The following is an 18,050-nucleotide window of genomic DNA, read 5'->3' as shown; positions in this document are numbered from 1 at the left end:
GGATGAACAAGGCACTTGGAGCCCCTTCACAACTGGAACCTCCACTGCAGGCACAAGGCTGGGCTGGACTGGGGTCTCCTCCTCTCCATGACAGCCTTGGGCAACCTGGAGCCCGCCACTGCCCCTCCCCAGGTGCTGTCCCCTTGAAGCTTCTCCCAACGGTTTAGTATTGTAGAGTTGGCACATCTCACGTGAACAAGAACAGCCATCACTGAAACGAATGCTCAGAGCGGACCGGCGTTTTTTCCCAGCCACCCTGGGGTGAGCATGGCTCACGTTGCACACCAGGAAGCCCAGGAGCGGGGAATTGAACCAGTTCCATCCAGTCCCTGGCAAGGGACCACCCTGTGTCCGAAGGCCACGTTCATTTTTCAGATTGCAGGAAATGGCTCAGCCTGAAGTTCAAGTTTTCCTCTGAGCTCCTGTTGATTAATGTGGCAAAGAGAGCATGCTGTGGAATATGCTGGCAGAAATGTCAGGATTGCTAAAGCGTTTCACTGCAAATGCTCAGGCTGGTGGGGAGGTGCCTTGGCACAATTCTGCAGAGGGTATTTGGCAATAGCAACAAAATCACAAAGGCACAAACCCTGTGACCCAGAAACACCAATTTCACGGTAGGAGCTGCTGCCGCAGGGGTTTGCCCAGAGCACAGGGAAAGATGTGCTCACTGTACTCGCTGGGACAAGCAAGAGATTGGAAAGAGCTCAGTGTCGTCATTCAGGGTGTCTCCTGTGTCTCCTGATCGCTATAAGGGGTTCCAGGCTGGTCCCCGGGGGAGGAGCTCCTGATCAGACGCAGGCCCTGCCCCCTCCCCAGCACAGAGCTGGTGAAGGAAGTGGACATTCATTCATTCAGGATGTTCTGAGTATTTCAGCACCACCAGGCCCTGGGAAATCAAGGTCTCAGCAGATGACGGTGGCAGTTTGATTTTTGGCTGAATTGTCCTCTACAGCAGTCACTGGGGGTTGCGTTTTTCTCACACTGCCCAGTCATGCAGCACACGGAAGCCATCCATATGCCATGGGAAAATGCTTTGTCTCCTGCCTGGGCGCCCCCCGAGCCAGTGAGTACAGTCCTGCCTAGTGGCAAGGTGAGTGTCCTGTTCCCAAGTCATGAAAATGCTCTTCACTGGGGCGGGTCTGCCGAGTTGGGAAGGGCACTTACGGTTTAAACCGAGAGACTCTCCCTGCATTTGAAATGAGGACATAGAGTTCTTTTTCTCTTTTCTTTTCTTTTGTTTTTTTGAGACGGAGTCTTGCTCTGTCGCCCAGGCTGGAGTGCAGTGGTGTGGGGTGATGGGGCAAATGGGGCAGGGCGGCCAGGTGGGGCCAGGCGGGCATCTCCCGAGGATGATCCTGGAGGTCAGCTGCCCGGTGTGGGTGGCCATGACCTTGGTAGCCTGTGACCTTGGTGGCTGTGAGCTTGGACGAGAACATTTTCTTCTGCCAGTGCAATGCCTAGAGAGGCAGGCCACTGAGGGCTGGGGCAGTGAACCCCGGGGACATCGCGTTGGGGAGTCCTGCCGTGATAGAGGGCCCCTGGGCACCACAGTGCAGCGTGTACTCCACCGTGGCTGCTGGATGGCCACCCATGGGCAGTGGAGCTGGGGCAGGGATGGCATTCCAGGTCTACAAAGTAGGGAGAGTGACGGCCCAAAGGAGCGAGGGTCCAGGCGAGCCGCACACGGAGGAGCGAGGGTCCGGGCAGGCCGCACATGGGTCGGAGGCTGCAGAGCCCATGCTGACGGCGCACACCATGGGCTCGGCCTGCTGTCCCTAGAAAGTGTGGGGCAGAAAGAACGGATGCACCTGTGTGCTCCTTGCTGGAAGTGGCAGGGGGCTCTTCCCATGCTGGATCTCCGGACACTCCCCTTGGCGCTCTGCCTGGTGGTCCGCCGCTGCACACGGGACACGGCAGGCTCCGTCCCCTCGGCGGCCACTCTGTCCCCTTTTAAGGCATGTCAGAAACAAAGCCCTGGACGGCTGTGGCTGGGTTGGGCGTTCGCCCCAGTCCCTTTAAGCCCTCTGGGAAGGGTGGGAAGTTTCCAAAACTTCCCGTTATCCACACCAAGCTCCTTGACCAGAGTCCAGTAATGGGACGCTGGCAGTGCCCGGATGCCCCGATACAGGCAGGAGAGGCACCGTACTGGGTTCATCCAAGGCCAGCTTAGGTCCTGGGAGCTAGGACGACCAGAGAGGAGAAAGGCAAGGCAGGGACATGGCACTGAGACAGAAGAGACCACCCCCAGAACAGAGACCCCCGAGAGGGCAGAGACCCCGAGACAGCAGAGACCCCCAGAGGGCAGCAATCCCAAGAGAGCAGAGACCCGGAGAGGGCAGAGACCCCAGGAGGGCAGAGACTCCTCAGAGGGCAGAGAACTCTGAGGCCAGTGACCCCCAAAAGAGCAGAGACCCCGTGAGAGGCCAGAGACCCCAGAGAGGTCAGGGGCCCCCGAGAGAGAGGGCAGAGACCCCGTTCCTTGTTTTTCCTTGTTTGCCACCTTCAATGTCATTCTTGCCCTCCCTCCCCCGCCGAGTGGGGGACTGTGGTGGCCTTAGCTACCCTCACGTGGCTTTAGGACCCTCAGAGCATAACTAAGCCCCCGAAGGCTCTGGTCTTCCAACAACATGATCTTTAGGAGGGCAAAGCTCCTGCGGCTCCTGTGGGCTGGCATTGTGACTGCCCTGGGAGGTGGCAGGTGTGACTCGCTGTCCCTGGGGAGGCGGGACCCCCCTGGGCACCTCTGCAGGTGCGAATCGGGGGTGGTCTTTCTCTGCGTGGCTGCATGGGGTGAGAGCCTCTGTCCCAGGGCAGGTGTGGGGACAGGCCCTGGTGGAGCGTGCGGGCCGGCTGGAGCTGGGGTGCCCGGAACTGTGGTTTGTGCAGGCCCAGGAGCCTCTGTCCTCGTGTGATCTTTGTGCACTCAGGACTTCGAGTCACACCTGGATTTGGTGAAGGGCTCCGGTTTTAGTTCCAGCTCTGGTAGCCACACCTCTGGGATCACGGGCAGGTCACACTCCCTTTCCCAGCCTGTTTCCCCATCTGTACGACGTGCATCCTCCTGTCGCGAGGATGTGTAGGTGCAAGAGACGTCCACCTCACCTGGCCCTGTCTGCAGGCATGAGGCTCTGTGAGGCGGGGCCCTCCCTGGGGACTCTGTGGGGATGAGGCCCTCACCTGGGGACTCTGTGAGGGGGGACCCTCCCTGGGGACTGTGTGAGGATGGGGATGAGGCCCTCACCTGGGGGCTCTGTGGGGCTGTGCTGTCAGCTGGGTGAGGGGAGTCCTGGCCATGGTAACAACAGGTCCAGGAGCTTGCCCCTTTGCCCAGAACATTCCTCCCATCTGCCCCCTCCAGGCCTCAGCTTCCACGCCTTTCCCTCCAGGGGACCTCCTCTTCCTTTCCTAGTTCCCCCACCTCCCTCCATATTCACCCGTGCGCATGCCGGTGAGCGGGCGTCCAGGCTGGAGTGCCAGCGTCTGGGTCTGGGTCCCGGTCCTCAGGCTGGAGTGCCGGCATTTGGGTCCCAGTCCTCAGGCTGGAGTGCCGGTGTCTGGATCCCGGTCCTCAGGCTGGCGTGCCAGTGCCTGGGTCCCGGTCCTCATGCTCCCTACACCATGGCTGTCTCCTGATGTTTTTGGCTGACTCTCCCTGGAAGCAGAATGAGGCCAGGGTTGATGTGGAAGCTGTTCATTTCTTTGGGAGGTGACCCAGGAAGACAGGGAGTAGGGAAGGGGATGCACCTGTAAGGGCTGATGGCTTAGTGCCCCTGCTGAGCACCCTCCAGTGACTCCCCTGGAGCGGGGAGGAGGCTGAGTATTTATCCAACTCCTGCCTGTGGGGGTAACAAACGAGGCCGCTCTGGGGGTGCGACTGCCTGATAGCCGGCCTGCCCCAGCCCAGGCAGAGAGCCCTGGGCAGAGCCCCCTATTGCCGCCAGTGTCCTTTCCTAGCGGTCATTCTCACTGCTGTACTTGCAGCGTGGTGGCCCAGTCACAGGCCCTCCCTACCCCCAGGGTTCTGCCCCATCCTGACAGGGCTGGCCAAGAGCCTGGCACTGGGGCCCGAGATGAGACCTCAGTGCCACATAGTGACTGGGGTGGGGGACCGACCAGAGTGGGTGGGAGGCAGGTGCTTTCTGAAGTGTGCCTGGCCTAGCCTTTGTCCAGCGAGCTCTAGACACAGCTGCTGACCCTGAGGGCTCCGGCACCTGCCCTTTTGCCCAGCTGCAGACTGGCTCTCGGTGGCCATGGGCCTTGAACCAGGTCAGATGATGGGGGTTGAGCTGACAGGGCCTTGCTCCAGGCCCTGGGTAATTGGCTGGGGTCTGGGCCTGGCTGGGGGTGTCCCCAGTGGCTCTGCTAGTCACCTGGTTAGTTGGCCTGGCAGGATGAGAAGCGGCTGGTCTCACAGACCCAAGGAACGAGCCCTTCCTGGTGAGATGGGAGGCCCTATGCAGGCTGAATGTGCCCGGGTGTGAGCACTTGTGTGTGTGCACTCATGTTCACATGCCATGCCTGTGTGTGCGTGCAGGCATGTGTATATGCATTTGCCTGTGTGTGTGTGAGTTGAGTGTAAATGTGTGCATGTGGGTGCATGTATGTGCACAAGTGTGCCTGTGTGTACACATGTGTGTCTGTGTGTATATGCATGTGCTGGCACATGTACATGGGTGTGTGCCCATGGGTTCATGTATGTGCACAAGTGTGCCTGTGTGTACACGTGTGTCTGTGTGTGTATGCATGCGCTGGCACATGTGCATGCTGTGTGCATGTGCATGGGGTGCCTGTGTATACGTGCACGTGTGCTGGGGAGGGCCCACTCACCACGTGCTGCGGGCGCCCTGCGGGTGCCAGCCCCTCCTCGTCTGCCTTGCTCTCCTGCCCTGCCTTGGCTCCCTGCCTTCCCCTCACCGGTTCTCTCTCTGCTTGGCGTCATTCCTTTCATAAATTCAGCCTGGCCATGGTTTCCATGGTGCTCTGATAAAAACTGGAATTCCAGTCATAATTGCAGGGAGTTGGGGAGCTGGGAGAGAGGGTGGAGGCAGGAGGGAACATTTTCTATACAGGAAGCTCAGGTCTCAATGGCTGTGGCTGGTTTTTCTTCCTTCAGAGGTATTTAGAGTGTATAGAATTCTCTCTCAAGAGCTCCCCTGTTGCCTCGCGATGGCGACGGGCCGGCACTGTCCTCCTGGGTGGGCCTCCTAGCCGATGGGCTTCTGTCTCTGTGCTGGAACAGGGCGGAGCTCGGCAGACCTGCTGGGTGGGGAGGGGCTTGACCCGGGCTCTGGCTTCAGGGGACTGGAGTTCAGGGGTGCCTGGGGCAGGCTGCCCGGCCAGTGTCCCCAGATCTCCCGCTCCATGACTGAGCTGGAATTCCATGGTTGTATTTCCATTCCTATGATGTTGTCGTCAATGTCAGTGTTCCTCCGGTTGGGGTGCAGTGATCTCCTATGCCCTGGAGTGAACGGGGGTTGTGAGAATTCCTTGCAGGGGCTGGGGCAGCAGAGCCCCACACCCTCCGTTCTGTGCCAGCCAGGGGGGTGCCGAGTCAGCCAGGTCCCGAGGAGCACTGAGCAGATGAATGAATGAATGGATGGATGGATGGATGGATGGATGGGAAGGTATAGGGAGGTGGCTCTCCCACCCCAGGGCGCATCTGACTCTCCTGGATAAGTCGTTAACATGCAGATTCCCAGGCCACCCTACCTTCTGATCGCCTGGGGCTCAGCTGGGGCCTGGGAAACTGGTCTGGAACAGGCTCCCTGGTGGTTCTGACGTGAGCCCGCCCATCTGCCTGCCCAGGAGACACAGGGAACAGGGGCAGCAGGAGCACTGGAGGCCTGTGGTTGGGAAAGGGGCTTTCTTCTTTGTCCCCCAGAGGACAGCGTTTGGCTGTCAACAAGGCCCTGCCTCTGCCCTAGTGGCTTGGGGCTGGGCAGGGGGGTTTGGGGGACCCCTCTGCTATGTGAGATGGAGGCAGAGGCAGGGAGGTGGGAAGGGGGATGAGGCAGGGACACACCCGGCGCAGAAGGCACTTCTGTGGGGCTGTCAGCCCTCAGGGGGGTCCTGCCATGGGGGTGTCTTCTCGTCCTCCTGTGGGGGTGTCCTCCCGTGGGGATGGGAGGGAGGGCCTCATCAGCTCAGAAGCAGATGGTGGCTGGGTTCTTCCTTCCTTCCTTCCTTCCTTCCTTCCTTCCTTCCTTCCTTCCTTCCTTCAACCTTCTTTCTTTCTTTCTTTCTTTCTTTCTTTCTTTCTTTCTTTCTTTCTTTCTTTCTTTCTTCTTTCTCTCTCTCTCTCTTTCTTTCTTTCTTTCTTTCTTTTCTTTTTCTTTCTTTCTCTTTCTCCTTCCTTCCTTCCTTCCCTCCCTCCCTCTCTTTTTCTCTTTCTCTCTCTCTTTCTCCTTCCTTCCTTCTCTCTCTCTCTCTTTTCTTCTTTTCTTTCTTCTTTCTTCTCTTTCTTTCTTTCTCTTTCTTCTTTTCTTTCTTTCTTCTCTATCTCTCTTTCTCTCTGTCTTTGACATGGAGTTCTTGCTCTTGTCACCCAGGCTAGAGGGCAGTGGTGCAACCTCAGCTCACTGCAGCCTACGCCTCCTGGGTTCAAGTGATTCTCCTGCCTCAGCCTCCCAAGTAGCTGGGATTACAGGTGCCCACCACCACGCTCAGCTATTTTGTATTTTTAGTAGAGACGGGGTTTCACCATGTTGGCCAGGCTGGTCTCAAACTCCTGACCTCAAGTGATCCGCCCGCTTTGGCCTCCCAAAGTGCTGGGATTACAGGCGTGAGCCACCGCGCCCAGCCTTTTTCAGTTCTTTAAACGCTGGCGTGTGTGTGGCTGTGGATCCTACGGGGTGTTTATGAAGGACGCTTGGTGTGTCCTTGGTCCCCACGCATCTTACTGCTGCTCCCACCTGCCCACCCGGGAGGAGGCTGACCTTGTTGCCTCGCTGCTCCAGCTCCTTCCTCCTTGGCACAGAGCCCAGGGATCCCTAGAGAGAGGCAGAACTGGAAAGACCACAGGGACCTCAGGCTGCTCCCGCTTGCTGGGTCTCAGTCATGAAGAGCCGTGGGTGTGCGAAAAGCCGGGAGAAACCAAGTGGAAGCCAGTCGGGATGGTGGTCAATGTAACAAAGACCCCAGAGAAAGGAAAGGGCTGTGGGGCTAGGCGGTCTTCTGGGAGGGAGAGTGGGGGGCTCAGAGGGAAGCACGGAGTGGAAGGAGGAGGGCGGGCAGGAGGAGGGGCAGTGACTGTTCTCTCGGTTGTTGATCTGGGTTTGCCTCCATGCCATGTGGCACCCCATGATTTATTGGGGTGATACTGAAACTCACCACCAAATGGTACTTATTCCTCCCGGCTTTAGGCACAGACTTTCTTACTTTAAGGAGAACTATGTTGTCTGAATCCAATAATTTTACTTTAAAAATGTAGCCAGAGTTAAAAAATAGCTATTGGCTAACAGCCCGTGTGAAAATTTGCCGTGGGGAATGAGGGCGAGGACCTGAATGGGTGGGTGGGGGAGGGTGCCCGTCATCCGAGACCACCCATGCCTTGTGTTTGCTCCTTCACCTCTGCCCTCCCAACCTGCGCCCCAGCCCTGCCCCTGAGCCTGACCAGCGTCCTGGGGTCCCCTGCAGAGCCCACCTTGCTGCGGTCACCCTTTTGGTCAACTTGCCTGGGGTGAGAGCCCGCCACATCCACCTCTGCCTGGCTGCCCAACCAGCGTTCCTCCCTGGCATGCTTTCCCCATGCCCCCCAGGGGGAAGAGAGGAGCCAAATGGTTCCCAGAGGCTGAAGCAGACCCCAGGAGGCTCTGGGTGTAGCCTGGACAGTGTCTACACAGCTCGGCGTCTGAGGCTGAGGTGGGAGAGCCTGGGCATGCAGGGTCTCCTGCCGGGTGAGCATCTCTGATTTGGGGGCAAAGCAACCCGTACCCTGTCCTTCATCCCTCTCTGAGCCCCGCAGCCTGGAGCTTCCTCCTGCCACTGCCATCAGTGGTCCCTACCAGTCCCTGGGGCAGCAGCTTGGCTCTGCCCTCTCACTGCTCCTGGGTCTTGGTGTGCTGGAGGCTGGGTGCTTTTCTCACCTGGCAGCTCCTGGGGAGGCGTGCCCTCCCCAGGAGGGGGTCACGGTCCTTGGGAGGTGGGGTCTTCTGAAGGTCCCACAATGGCGAGGGCAGAACCAACACCAGCTCCGTGCAGCTCTCCCCCTCCCTGGCGTCCCCAGCTGTGAAACAGGTGGAGCTCGCCTTCGGCCTGTGGGCCTGCAGGGTGGGTCACCGGGAGCACATGAGGGCTGATAGGACCATGGTCTTCAAGCTTAGGGAGGCTGTGGGTCCTTGGCAGATTACCAGAGCCTTGGCTTCCTTGGCCAGTCAAATGGGAACAATGACCTAAGGATGCTGAGCCCCAGGGCGGCCGGAGGCTCCCTACACACAGCTGGGTTCAGCCAGGGCTCCTAGGTGATGCCTGGCAGAATCTGCGCTTAAAGTCCTGTCTCCCAATCCTCTTCCTCCTCCTCCAGAGATGCAGTCAGAGAGACAGCCCCCAGCTCCAGGGAGGAAGCAGGGAGAGGGAGGAGCAGGGAGAAGAGAGGAGAGGGAAGAGAGGCTCGGAGGGAGGCTCAGAGGGGAGGGAGCCTCAGACCAGGGAGAGGCTTGAAGGGGAGAGAGGCTCTAGAGTGGAGAGGAGAGCAGGGACCTGGTTGCAGGCAGTGCTATACCCTGGGCCACCTCCAGAGTGACAGGAGCGGGTGGCACCAGGCTCCACTGTTGGTGGAGGGGGCTCAGACTAGGCCGGGGCAGAGAAGGAGCCGGGCAGCCAGGCATGAAGCTCATGATTGACACCAATTCCTTAACCTTAAACATCACGGAGTGTCCAACTCTGGGGACGAATCGGGGTGTGGACAGGTTCAGGCAGGGAGCCCGTGGAGGGCAGCAGTCGAGGGCCCGGGTACCGCTCTGGGCCAGGAGGGACACTGGCCTGGCCGCCAAGGCCAGATGCCAAGGAAGGCAGCCTCCGCCTCCCTCCCAGCTCCCCTGACGCGGCCAACCTTGGTCCTGCGGGCCGGGCCCTGAGTGCTAACTTCCACCTTATCCCACGTCCCAGCTCACAGTGGCAGAGCTGGAGTCCAGCCCAGGACCCTGTGCGTCACCACCTGTGCGCTCATGGCTGTGCTGTGCTGCCGGGGGAAGAGCTGGCATCCCCTCTTCACCCAGTGCTCGCCACGCAGCCTCTGGGTGCACAACACAGGCCCCCCAAGGGCTCCACATGGTGGGTGCCCTCTCCCTGTGCCCACCTTGTGGCCACGCACAGCCGAGGGGAAGCGGGACCCCGAGGCAGCAGGCTCTCCTCGTCCCCATCCGGCCTCCTCCTGGCTCTGGCTTCCCTCTGTCGGGGGTTTAAGGCTTCCTAGAGAGAGCAGCTGTTGGGTGAGAGGGTCTTCCCGGAGACCCTGCAGCCTCTTCTGAATCAGGGGCCCAGGAGTCCTCACTCAAGCCATCCCCACCTCTGAGCTGGGCAGGTGCGGCTCGGAGGGGAAGGTGGGGGACCATGCCCTTAGGGTGGGTGGGGTTGTCCTGTGTTTCTGCTGTCCTTTGGGTTAAGGTGTGGGGATCTTTGTTACCAGGAGATGCTGTGGCCACTAACGCTTTAGCACAGATAAGGACAGGCTGAGCCTGGTGGGGATCTGGGGCAGCGCCGCTTGGGAGGGCAGGCGAAGGTGAGTGCTGGGTGCTGGGAGGGAGGGGCCTGGCAGCGTGTGCCAAGATCCCTTTAGATGATCAGGGTTATAGTTTATCTCCCCACCCTCACCCAGACCCCTCCCAGCCCTGCTGCCACCTGGCTGCCCCCAAAGGAAGGAGTCCTGAGCCCCCAGGCACAGGAAAACAACACTTAGAGAATCTCTAAGTGCTGCAGGGAGGTGGAGGCAGGGCCAGAGCTGCTGAGGACGGCCAAGAGGACCCCCTCAGGAAGGGGTGCTCCCTGCCATCAGGACCCAGGAACCATGGCAGGCTCCTGACCACGAGGGCCCCAAGGCTCCTCCCCTCTCCCCCTAGGCCCCTACTCAGCCCCTCCATGGGCGCTCAAATCCCTCAAGCTCTCAACCCGCCTTCTCCCTCCCCTATTGCTCCCCTAGCACCTGCCCTTCTCCTCTCCAGCCACTCTGAGCCCCTCATGTCCCTGGGGAGACCCCTCACTCCTGCACTCTCCCTTGCTCAGGCTCTGCCTCCCACTGGCCCACCTGCCTCCTCCTCCAGGCAGCCTTCCTGGACTGTTCAAGCCCAAGCAAATGCTTCTTTTGCTGAGCTCCACAGGGTGAGCCCAGCACTCCTAATCCTGAGGCCCAGGAGGCTTATGAGAAAGACCCCAGGGCACCACCCTGCAGACTCTGCTGTCACCGGCCTCTTGTGGCTCAGGCTCAGGCAAGCCGGAGAAAAGCTTTTGGTGCCCTAAAAAGGAGCACAGCAGAGAGCCAGAGCCGCCCAACCAGGGATGGAGAATGACCCGGGCCTTGGCGGGGGAGAATTGGAAACGGTGGGTCTGGGAGGTGCCTGGGAACCCTCATTTTCAGAGCAGAAGCCCTGGGGGTGAGGGTTCAGCTGCATCTTCTGTCTCCTCAGTAGCCTGCACGGGGCTGGGCCCAGGCCAGAGGCTCAGTACTGCACCCGGGCCTATCTGTCCACTGCTAAGGCCTCGATGGGGCCATGGCCCCCTCCCCCACAACCACAGGACCCCTGGGCTGGCTAGAGGGGGCCATGGAGATCTGAGCTGAGCGGTCATGGGACCCCGGGCTCCCCGCTTCACTGAGCGTCCTCTGTGTTCAGCTCACAGATCAGGAGACTGAAGCTCAGGAGACGGTGAGGACTTTTGCCCACACAGGCCCCTCGGTGGTCACTAGGCCCTGCAGGGGGCCCACTGCTCCTTGAAGCACTAGGGAGGGTGGGTGGGCTGTGAGCAGAGGGATCCCGGCGCCCCCCACCCGCCAGCTTCTGGGACCAGAGCCCTGTAGACTTTGGTAAGAGGCCCAGTGCAGGCTGGCTGCTGCGTCGGTGCGTGTCTGAATGAAGGAGTGAATGAATGAGTGGGTGGGTGGGCACATGCAGGCCCTCAACACTCAAGTCCACATCGAGGCCCTTCGGCCACCTTTATTGAGAGATACACGGGGTTTGTTTTCACCACCTGCAGATGGTGGGAGTGGGGGTGGGCGTTTGAGCTGTGAGGGCTGTGCCGTCACCAGGGGCCGGCTCAGGGGCTCCGGACTCCATGACCGACGCACTCATGGCACGCAGGGCCAGCTTCCGGGGCCACATCATGACCTGGCCGCAAGCTAGTGATACGAGATCAGGTGTCGTGGGTGTGTCTGTGGTGCGTGGACACGTGTCCCTACCTACGGTAAGTGCACAGATAGGAGCATCAAGACATCAACGGGAAAAGCCGACTTCAGTCACAGCCACAGACCCCGCCCCAGAGACCCCACGTCTACCGAGGGTCTAGGGCAGTGGGGCATCCACTCTGCCCTCTCTCAGAGCACCATCCTGAGAGACACCATTCTGTCTGTTCCGGGGTGGATCCTCCAGGACAGTCTCATCCAGCTGAGAGGGCGGAACGACCACATCTGTTCCTTAGATGGGGAAACCGAGGCTCAGAAATTATGGCCCAAGGTCCAGGAGCCCCAGAGAAGGGTCTGAGGCTGCCCTGTCTGGCTCTGAGTCCAGGTCCTCGTTCAGAGCCCAGCCTGAGGGGCCTTAGCATTTGCTAGACTCTGAGCCCACTCCTGAGCAGGGGTAGGGGCTGCACTGACCTCTGGACATCCCTGGCTGGCAGCAAAGCTCTTCCGCCCAGAGCAGACTATGTCATGGGGGCTCTGTGGGGGAGGAAGGCCCCTCTGTGCTGGCCCTGTTTCCCTGGGGTTGGTGGCCCTTGGGCACTGGGAGGGCTGCCTGGCTGATGACCAGGCTTGTGGGGGCAAAGTTTGGCAGGAAGTGCAGCGAATAGGCCTGACTCCCCTGGGCCCTGTTCTTGGTGAGCCGAAGGGTCCTGTGGTTGGAGAGGGATTTTGTGGGGTTCAAGGAACCCGTCAACTCAACAGCCAGATCCAAGCGACTGCAGATACTGTAGCATTCGACTCTCATTTCTCAGACGGGGAAACTGAGTCCAGAGAAGGCAAAGTGGCTGAACACAGCCCAAGACCAGGTGTCCGGGTCCTGGGTCGACATGGCCGGTGCAGGCAGCCAGCCCAGAGCCCATTTCCCTGGGGCAAAGGCTGCTCTGAGACAGGGAAATCCCTTGAAGAAAAGGCTGACTTTTGCTTCCTGTGGCTCCCAGCTCCTGGCTGGTCCCGGCCAGCTTCTCCTGGGACTGTCTTCTCTTAGGCTTAGGCGACCTTCTTAAGCCAGGGGCCTGGCTAGTCATGTGCTCTGTGGAGCCTGGATCCTAGAGACCAAGGAGGCGCCAGCTTTTTCAACTGCTTGGAGGCCGGGGCCAGGGCTGCCGCCGCCAGAAGGTGACAAATGAGTCTGTGCCTCAGCCCAGGGCTGCCGGCCAGCGGTGCCTGGACACACCGCTCCTTCTCACCTGAAGCCTGAGTTCCTGGGACCTGGCATCTTACTCAGAGACCAGGCACCATCGCCCCTGTCCCACATTCCCCTTCTCAAGGCCCCACCCTGAAGCCAGCTCTGGGCCTGGCTCCAGACCTCAGCCTGCACAGCCACAAGCAAAGCACACGGAATGCGCACCCCATCCTGGCCACGGCCACTCGGGCAGGTGCTGGAGACCAGGCCCCTGATCCGGCGTCCCTTCTGCCGAGCCCGAGAGGCCACAGCTGAAGATCTTGAGGCTGAGGCCTGAGCCCCCTCCCATGTGGTGTCCTGGCAGAGCCCCTGGGCCTTGGCCTGGGTGAGGATGGGAGGGAGGAGGGGAGGCTGGGGTCTGGGCCATTCCAGGCCAGCCCATTTTTGTCCTTTTTGGGCTTGTGGTCCCCTCTGGGGGCTGCAGCTGCCTGCGGCGAGGGTGGTGGGAGGGACTCCCCACGGCGATGGGCCCCCAGCTTGCCAGGCCTGAAGGGGCGAGTCAGGGAGCTTTCTTGGAGCTGCCTGGGGGAGGGGGGCATGGGTCTGCATGGCAGGGTCTGCACGTGAGGCCCAAAGCCACGGAGCCTGCGGGACTGGGGCTGGACTCCCCGAGCTAGACAGAGGGGGTGCAGGCCTCAGAGATGTGGACATGGGAACAGCAGCCGGGCCGCCGGAGGCCCGGCCCCACCCAGCACCTTTCATTTCCTTCTCTGGAACCATCCATTAGTCTGAGAACAAAGAAAACTGCCTTTTGCCGCACACTAATTTCTCCTTGTTAGAGGCCCTTTTCCTATCTGGGAGAGGAGCGCTCTCTTGTTCTGGCTTTCAAAGAGGAGATGGGGGAGGGGTGGGGAGGAGTTGGGGACAGGCCCGGGAGACACTAATGAGAAACATGGGTTAGGGGGTGGGAGGGGGGGGTCCCAGGCCTCAGACTCCAGTGCAGGCTGGCCTCTGCCTGACCCCCATCAAGGCTCCCGGGTGGGGGCTGCTCTGTCTGTCGGGGGCAAGGACCCATGGCCAGGCTCCTCCTGGACACGTTCCGGGGCGCACAGCCTAGTACAGCGTCTCGCGGGTGGCATTGCTGGAGAGGGTGTGGTTGCTGGACACGCTGTCGGCCTTCCTCGAGAAGGCTGGCCTCTTCCTCCTGCGCCGCCACACCGGGCAGAGGCAGGCCAGTGTGGCCAGGAAGATGTGGCGGAAGTTGGCAGAGACGAGGTTGTACAGGATGGGGTTGATGGTGGAGCTGACGTAGAAGAGTGCGTTGGTCACCATGTAGAAGTAGTGGTAGAAGTCATAGAGGAACCTGCGGGGAGAGAGAGGCGCTCAGATCCCAGAGAGAACTCTTGAGGGCCCCAAGGCAGGGTGACAGCCGGGGCCACAGCGGCTGAGGGACGTGGTGGCTCAGACGCTAATTAAAACACCCCTTGAGAATGGTTGTTTGGGGACATTTCATAACAAGCTCCAGGGTCTGGCTTCTCCTGAGCAGCTGCAAGTTCTCGTCGTGCTCCCGCCCAGCCTGGGCTGCTGCTGCTTTTTTTTTTTTTTTGAGACGGAGTCTCGCTCTGTCTCCCAGGCTGGAGTACAGTGGCGCGATCTCGGCTCACTGCAAGCTCCACCTCCCGGGTTCACACCATTCTCCTGCCTCAGCCTCCCGAGTAGCTGGGACTACAGGGACCCCCCCACCACGCCCGGCTAATTTTTTGTATTTTTGGTAGAGACGGGGTTTCACCGTGTTAGCCAGGATGGTCTCGATCTCCTGACCTCGTGATCCACCCACCTCAGCCTCCCAAAGTGCTGGGATTACAGGCGTGAGCCACCGTGTCCCACCCAGCCTGGGCTTCTTTAGGTGGAGCGTGGGCTCTGCTTGTCCATCCCTGCCTCTCCTTGCAGCTGCCTGCATTGCCCTTCGCAGCTCTGTGCATCCAAGGGTCCAGGGCTTGGCTGGTCCCGGCCTAACCAAACAGCCAGGGCAGTAACCCCCTCCACACCTCCCCAGCAGCCACACACCTTGCCCTCAGCTTGTTGCCTCCCCCCACAGTGATCTCACTCCCTCACCAGGCAGCTCAATTACTACCAGTCAGCCCTGAGTTTCAGAAGCTTTTGCAGGGGCCACACTCTGTTCCCCGTGCCTTCTCCTCCTCATTGGTCGTAGGTGCGCCCTCCCTGGTGGTTGTCACTGGAAGGAACCTTTTATTCTGGGATCTGGCAGCCCCACTGCACAGAAAAGGGTTCACAAGTGGGCCCCAAGCTGCCATCTCAGGATGGCCAGCTGGCAAGGCTGGCCTCTGGCTGGTGCCTGGGGCCTTGGATTTTGGGAAGGCTCTGCCATTTTTGGGTGAGAAGGGCTCCCTGCCCCTGAACTGTTGGTGCAAACAGTAGGGGTTTTGCCAGGCAGTGGGTGCCCCTGTGATCGGCCCCCATATCGTCCTGTGAGGCTCCTCTGGGAGGGGGCCCTGGAAGCTGCATCTGGTCTTCCGCTGACCCCACTCCATGTGTCTTTTCCCTTTGCTGACTTTGCTGTATAAGCAAAGCTTTGTCAGTATTGGTGCTCTTGCTGCGATAAGTCACAGCCCTGAGTATAACTCCAGGCTGAGCCCTGTGGGTCCAACCTGGGTGGCCTTGGGGCTCTGACAGCTGCCATATGAGGAGGTGACACCCCCACCATGTCCCCAGCAGAGCCAGGGATGTCTCTCTTTCACCTTCGGGAAACTGCCTGGGCCATCTCTCTTAGGACCAACTTTCTTTCTCTGCACCAGTCTGGCCTGAATAGCCCCTGCCTTGAACCTGTCCCTCCATGGCCTTCTCCCGGCCCCAGTCACAGCACAACCCTGCCCAGGGGGTCGCCGGGGGACTCACCACACCCCTGCCCTGAGTGGATCCCCTCAGCAGTGCCTGCCACACCCACCATCTGTTTTGGGAGCACTTACTTGTCCAGCACCCAACTTCCTGGTTCCCGGTACTCACGGAGTCCACTGCTCATCCGAGATGTAGCAGAACATGAGGCGCCGCACGTGGTAGGGCAGCCAGCAGACCACAAAGGCGATGACCACTGCACCTGAGGCACAGAGACGTGGGCTCAGAGACCCACTGCACCTGAGGCACAGAGGCGTGGGCTCAGAGACCCACTGCACCTGAGGCACACAGATGTGGGCTCAGAGACCCACTGCACCTGAGGCACAGAGACGTGGGCTCAGAGACCCACTGCACCTGAGGCACAGAGACATGGGCTCAGAGACCCACTGCACCTGAGGCACAGAGACGTGGGCTCAGAGACAGGACATGGGCTCAGAGACCCACTGCACCTGAGGCACAGAGACGTGGGCTCAGAGACCCACTGCACCTGAGGCACAGAGGCGTGGGCTCAGAGACCCACTGCACCTGAGGCACAGAGGCGTGGGCTCAGTGGGGGAGACATGGGCTCAGAGACCAGACACAAGCTCAGAGAGGGAGAGACGTGGGCTTGGGGAGGGAGCATAAGCTCAGAGACAGGACACAGGCTCAGAGACAGGACACAGGCTCAGAGAGGGAGAGACATGGGCTGAGGGAGGTAGACACTGGCTCAGAGACATGGGCTTAGAGACACAGAGATATGGCCTCAGAGAAGGAGACACGTGGTCTGAGGGAGATGCAGGGAGACATCCCATGTTCATGGATTGGAAGATTTAATATTGTTAAGGTGTCAGTACTACCCAAAGCACTCTACAGATTCAATGCAATCCGTATCAAATTTCAAGAATGCTTTTGGCAGAAATAGAAAAATCTGTGCTAAAATTCATATGAAATCTCAAAGGATCCCGGACAGCCAAAACAATCTTGTAAGAAAATAAAGTTGGAGGTCTTACACTTCTTGATTTCAAAACTTACTACAAAGTTACAGTGTGGTGCTGGCATAAAGATAGACACGTAGACCAAGGGAATAGACTAGAAATCTCAGAAACGAACCCTTACCTTTATGGTCAAGTGATCTTCACCAAGACCATTCAGTGGGGAAAGGACAGTCTATTCAACAAAGGGTGTTAGGAAAACGGGACATCCACTTGTATGAAGGTGGATCCTCCCCTCACACCATATACAAAAATGGACTTGAAGTGGATTAAAGACCTGAACATAAGAACTAAAACCATAAAACTCCTAGGAGAAAACATAATTACTTTACAACATTGATTTTGGCAATGATTTCTTGGGTATGACACCAAAAGCACAGGCCACAAAAGAAAAAAGTAGATAAATTGAACAACATAAACACTGAATTTCTGTGTATCAAAGGATGCCATCAGGAGAGTGGAAGTCAGCTCACAAAAAAGGAGAAAATATTTGCAAATCACATCTGATAATGAGTTAACCTTGAGAGTATAACTCCTAAAACTCAACATGAAAACAAACAATCCAATTCACAAATGGGCAAAGGACTCAGACATTTCTCCAAAGAAGATACAAATGGTCAACAAGCACATGAAAGATGTTATTAATCATTAATCTTAAATCACTGGAGAAATGCAAATCAAAACCACAACGAGATGCCACCTCAAATCTATTAGGATGGCTACTATTAAAACAACAGGCACACACTGGGACCAGGACACACCTTGGATGTTGGCAAGCCAGCCGTCCTGAGCTGGGGCTGGTCCTCAGGGTTCCGATAGGATGGGCGTTGCCCTGCTGTGGGCTTCGCCAGCCCTGAGAGCTCCGTGTCCAAAGCCCTGGCTGGTTCCCATGAGCAGGGAAGGCTGAGCCCAGAGCCAGGCTCTCTTAGGGTAATGTGCTTGGCTATGGGCCTCTCCTGTGACTGGCCACACCCTCAAACAAGCCCTGAAAATGGGCCAGCACCAGGGAGGAGCTCAAGCCAAATGCTTCAGGCAAACCAAACTGAAGACCTGGGTCTCAGGCATGAAAGGGCTTCATTCTCTCCAGTTCCCATCACACTCTCCAAGCCCTGTGTTGTTGGCAGCGTCTGCCCTGCCCCTGCCCCGCCTTCTTGCCAAGCACCTCCCACCACAGGGCCTTTGCTCCAGCCATCCCCTCGCCTGCAGCTCTGTTGCCCAGATGGGCTCCTGGTCCTTGGGACTTGCAGGATGCCACCTGCTCTGAGAGCCCCTCCCAGCTGCCAGATGTAGTCAGGGGTGGTGGTGGTGGTATTTTTTTCTTCATGCTCATCACTGGCTGAAGGTGCCTGGTGCCTGTGTTTGTGTCCTTGGTGGAGCCCCTGTTCCCCCAGAGTGCAGGGATGCCCCTGCCTCTGCTGCCTCCATGCCTGTGAGCAAGAATAGGCGAGACCCAGGGTGGGCACTCAGCCAACTGCTGAGCAAATGAATAAGTGAGCACGTGAGCAAGTGGACAGATGGACAGAGAGATGGATAGATGGAGGGAGGGAGGAATGGAACAAGGGAGGGAAGGAGGGATGGAAGGAGGGATGGATGGATGGAATGAGGGATGGAGGGAGGGAGGGATGATGGGTGGAGGGAGGGAGGATGGATGGAGGGA

The 18,050-nt window shown here is 58.9% G+C and overlaps 1 protein-coding gene across 1 annotated transcript in view, besides 2 other annotated features; it reads right to left on the bottom strand.

The window, feature by feature from the left end:
• Window positions 4,226-4,957: an enhancer, noted in NCBI's record as "H3K4me1 hESC enhancer chr20:61400285-61401016 (GRCh37/hg19 assembly coordinates)". NCBI's record gives its function as "activates a minimal SCP1, AML or CMV promoter by ChIP-STARR-seq in primed H9 embryonic stem cells {active_cell/tissue: H9 hESC(primed)}" and the evidence as "EXISTENCE:reporter gene assay evidence [ECO:0000049][PMID:30033119]".
• The window catches only part of NTSR1 (neurotensin receptor 1), a 53,936-nt gene continuing 47,004 nt past the window's right edge, over window positions 11,119-18,050 (bottom strand). Inside the window, exons 3-4 of the mRNA NM_002531.3 lie at window positions 15,534-15,624; window positions 11,119-13,872 (exon numbers count right to left, since the gene is read on the bottom strand). Of these exons, the coding sequence (NP_002522.2) occupies window positions 13,623-13,872; window positions 15,534-15,624 (341 nt within the window). The 3' untranslated portion in view covers window positions 11,119-13,622. The remainder of the gene's footprint in view (window positions 13,873-15,533; window positions 15,625-18,050) is intronic.
• Window positions 12,030-12,809: an enhancer, noted in NCBI's record as "H3K4me1 hESC enhancer chr20:61392433-61393212 (GRCh37/hg19 assembly coordinates)". NCBI's record gives its function as "activates a minimal SCP1, AML or CMV promoter by ChIP-STARR-seq in primed H9 embryonic stem cells {active_cell/tissue: H9 hESC(primed)}" and the evidence as "EXISTENCE:reporter gene assay evidence [ECO:0000049][PMID:30033119]".

This window comes from Homo sapiens, chromosome 20 (assembly GCF_000001405.40).
Source record: "Homo sapiens chromosome 20, GRCh38.p14 Primary Assembly".
NCBI classification, from domain to species: Eukaryota; Metazoa; Chordata; class Mammalia; order Primates; family Hominidae; genus Homo; species Homo sapiens.
The sequence above is the reverse complement of the archived record's forward strand: the minus strand, read 5'-3'. Positions and strand labels throughout refer to the sequence as shown.